The sequence below is a fragment of the Homo sapiens genome, chromosome 20, assembly GCF_000001405.40.
Source record: "Homo sapiens chromosome 20, GRCh38.p14 Primary Assembly".
In the NCBI taxonomy this organism is placed as follows: domain Eukaryota; kingdom Metazoa; phylum Chordata; class Mammalia; order Primates; family Hominidae; genus Homo; species Homo sapiens.
Window position 1 is genome coordinate 39,039,722 of NC_000020.11, and position 3,967 is coordinate 39,043,688.

The window sequence follows — 3,967 nt, forward strand, 5'->3', positions numbered from 1 at the left end:
CACCTGGTTTTCGTGTCTGTATGTTAAGATGTTCTAATGAATTGTTCGAAGTGAGGGCCTGACATTAGCTAAGAAACTTAATGCTGTGGCATACAGCAGCTTTGGGATCTCAGGGACACAGGAAGCCCCCTAAAGCAAGATGATGTGACTGAATGACCTCAAGACCTGATTAGAGTAAACTGTGGGACATTTAAAAGAAGTCCCAAAGAGGTGCTAATTCTTGCCAGTTTCCAGTTGGGATCTTCCTGTAGAGAGGTCAGAAACATTATTTTTCAAGTTTGGCTTTAGGACTGGGGCTGATCCTAAAAAGCTTATATGGCGGTGGAAGGGGAAAGGTACAGGTTTCACACCCTCGGGTTGGAGACCAGAGTCCACTGGGAGCCCGGACAATCTGGAGGGAGCACCCAGAGGCAAGCCCGTCCCTGCATGCTGCCTCTACCCCTGGGCGCCTGATCCTGAGCACATGCTTCCCCTCTGTCCCTCCACCTCTCAGAAGGCAGCCCTCCCCAGGCGACACCCCCCAGTGTTGTGTCCTGTGTTATGTCACAGTCTGTGATGGGTGGGACAGGTCCTTGCTGTCCGAAGCAACTACAAAATCCTGGGCCCATGGGGAGGCCCCTTTACAGTAGGGTTGGTTAAGGCTGGGACCACACAACTCACCAGGGAGTGGGGCCCGGCCTGGGCGAGAGAGATGAGAGCTTTTGACTTTGTCTGTTGCAGGTCTGTGTCCCTGTTCCCATTGTCAGCCCACAGATGTGACAGCAGGGCCTAGTACCTCACAGACTGTCCCCCAGTACTTCCACAGAATTAGTCCCCTCGGGCTCCACACAGGTCTTCAGATACTGCTAGTAAAATTCCCCACAGCATTGCTGTGTCTTCCCTTTGGAGCAAGTGAGAGGGCAGAGAGAAGCTGGCGCTGGAAAGCATGGAGGCGGTGGTGCCCTGTAGGCCCAGAGATGGCAGCTTTCTGTGTTGGTGGCTTGCAGAGACCCTGCCAGTTTTCTGCCATAGCTGGCTTCCCCGGGGGTTGGACATTGTCGTCACAGGGAGCCCCTGGTTCAGCCAGTGCGCTGCTCAGTCCAGCCAGCAAATGTTGAGCCCTCAGGCCATGTGCATGGCACAGGGATGAGGCGGAGACACTTGACAACAAGTAACCAGATGAGTGGACCAGGATGGAGCTGGGCGCACGAGAAGGACAGGGTGGCAGGAGATGGCAGAGGTCCAGTAGGGGTTGTTAAGGCCAGGGCTGTATCCACAGAGACTTCCCCACGACAAGATGCTTTCCTGGTGAAAGGACAGACCGCTCTCATGTTCTTCCCTGGCCATCCCCACATTGCTGAGCATTTCATGTGGGCCATGAACTTGGAGAGCTGCCTAGTGCCCCAGCTCCATGCTCCCATCTCCACTGTTTTGTCCTGGTGTCAGCACAGCCTACTGCCAGTGCTGCTCCAGCTTCATGGGCTGGGCCCTGCCATTCAGTGCTGGGTTGTCCCCAGCACCCCAGCCCTGCCCTCAGCTCTGTTTTCCAGGGCCCGGCGCTGACAGTGTGGCTGACATTTCTCCTAGCCTGAGCAAGAATGTCTGCCGCTGACCAGACAGAGGGTTGGGTGGCTGGGGGAGGGAGGCGCAGGCCAAGGGGCCTAAATCTGGAAAACCGCAAGACTCCGTCCTGGAGCCACAAGACTGGATGTCTGGCAGTGAGGCCTGGGAAGCTGTAAGTTGTAAAAGCCCCATCTCGGGTGGTTCTGATGAAGTGGTGGGCTTGGGAATCCTGGGGACAGGAGTTGAAGATGTGAAGACATGCAGCCCAATGGACAGATAGCCCCCAGCGGGGAGATCAGAGCTTCGAGATCAGAGCGTCAGGTCTGAGTGAAAGCTGATAAATTGTTTCTTCACAAGTGTGCTTAGACCCCAGCCCAATTCCCCTTACGTGTTTCCCCAGAACACAGATCTGTGGGGTTGGGATTCTTCCCCAGGCAGGTTGTGGCAGCAGGCATCAATGTCAGCTCACTATGAATTTTCCTGAGTCTTGCAAAAATGAGGAATGTGTAGTAATGAGCATTTTATAAAGCTTAAGTTTATTCTCTATAAAAGACCATCCTTTAGTGTTTTTTATTTTTTATTTTTATTTTTTGAGTCAGAGTCTTGCTCTGTCACCCAGGCTAGAGTGCAGTGGCATGATCTCGGCTCACTGCAACCTCCGCTTCCCGGGTTCAAGCGATTCTCCTGCCTCAGTCTCCCAAGTAGCTGGGATTACAGGCACCTGCCACCACACCCAGCTAATTTTTGTATTTTCAGTGGAGACAGGGTTTCATTGTGTTGGCCAGGCTGGTCTCAAACTCCTGACCTCAAGTGATCTGCCTGCTTTGGCCTCCCAAAGTGCTGGGATTACAGGCATGAGCCACCTTGCCCGGCCATCCTTTAGTCTTTTCTTGGTGCTAAGATGCTTTTAGGAAACAATGGTGATAGTAGATGGTGGTTTTATTTTTTAATGTTTTCTTTGGAAAAATAAAATGTCAACAGTCGTTCATCTATCACCCAATTAAAAACCAATTCAAAATGATGAAACAAAAACTGATGTAATCCTCAAGTCTGGGAACTACTGGGTTGTGGCTGAGTGGGCCGGGCAGGGCATCTGGCAGCATCAGCACCAAGATCATCATTCTGGGAAGTGGATCTGAACTGCCAAGCACCCACCTGGGTTTCAAGTGAACTTTGGCGCCGCTGGAGGACATTTCTATCCCCTGGAAGAATTCGAGTTGGCAAGTCTCAGCCCCATATCCCTTTTTCACCTCAAGATAAGATCAGGTATTTTCCACTCTCCAATGATTCATCTGAATTTTCTCCTCAGCCTTCTAATTTGTGATGAAACAGGATGATGGAACTCTGGATTTCTTGTCAGTTTAATCTGTTTTTTTTTTTCTTTTTTTCTGAGTCATTGGAACTGGAAATAGCCAATCAAATAATTGCACAAACAGCTGGCTACTGTGGATGACCAGGTGGAATTTGCGTGGCAGACGGTCTGGAGAGGGCTTGTCCCTGGGTCCTCACAGTCATTGCTCCCTCCAGCAAGCAAGGATGACACGTTGACGTCTCTGGTGAATCCTGGCAGTGTTCCCTTTTGCACTCTTGGGTGGCATTGGACTTGCTGGAACAGGGCGTCTCCTTGCCTGCTTAAGTGCGGCCAAAGAGATTCCCAGCGCAGCGTTCCCCCAGGCCCTCTGGCACACATGGCCACCGCTCCCACTTGTGGGTTCTCCTGAAGGCAATGAGCAGGCTAGGGAGGCTGGGAGGTTCACAAGGGAGGGGTGGTGCAGGCACAGGATTTAATACCCCAGGATCTCCATAGCCAGGTGAACGACCAGCACAGGCTACTGCCCATGGCTTCTTGACCATGGCCTCATCAGTGGCTCCAAGTATGAACGTCCTAGCCAGGTTCTTTGCTGGCCTCAGCCTGATGGGCGGACCCATATAGGACCCAAAGGTCGCCTGAGTTCCTTTCTGCGTCCCCACCACTGCCATCAGCCTCTACATCGCCCTGGACCCCAGGAGAGCAGGAGCTGGCTGATAAGGCCTTACCAGCTCACCCTCAGGCTGTTTATTTTAGCCTCGTTCTCTGGTTGCTTTTCTTCCCCGCATTTTAGGCTTGTTCTGTTTTCAAGTGCGGTCTTCAGTTTGCTTGGTGTCTGCTGTCCCTGTGTTTTCCCTTTGCTGTTGTTTTTTTGTTTTTCCTCATGGGTATGCCTCACCCCTTTAATCTCCACCTCTCTGACCTCTGCATTATTTTCCTTTTTACTGCGAAGTTTTAAAAAGAATGCAGTCGTGTTTATTTTTAATGCTCTTCAAAAGTATTTTTTCCTCGACATTTATGTTAACGTCTTGGTCTTTTTTGTACTCTGCTTGTTTGTCTAACTATTATTTTGGACATTTGTTGTCGTGGTTCTATAAATATTTTCTTCTGTGATCT

At 51.0% G+C, this 3,967-nt stretch overlaps 1 annotated feature.

Moving 5' to 3' along the window:
- Positions 2,891-3,091: a silencer, noted in NCBI's record as "peak4214 fragment used in MPRA reporter construct". NCBI's record gives its function as "represses an SCP1 promoter by STARR-seq MPRAs in K562 erythroleukemia cells {active_cell/tissue: K562}" and the evidence as "EXISTENCE:reporter gene assay evidence [ECO:0000049][PMID:32103011]".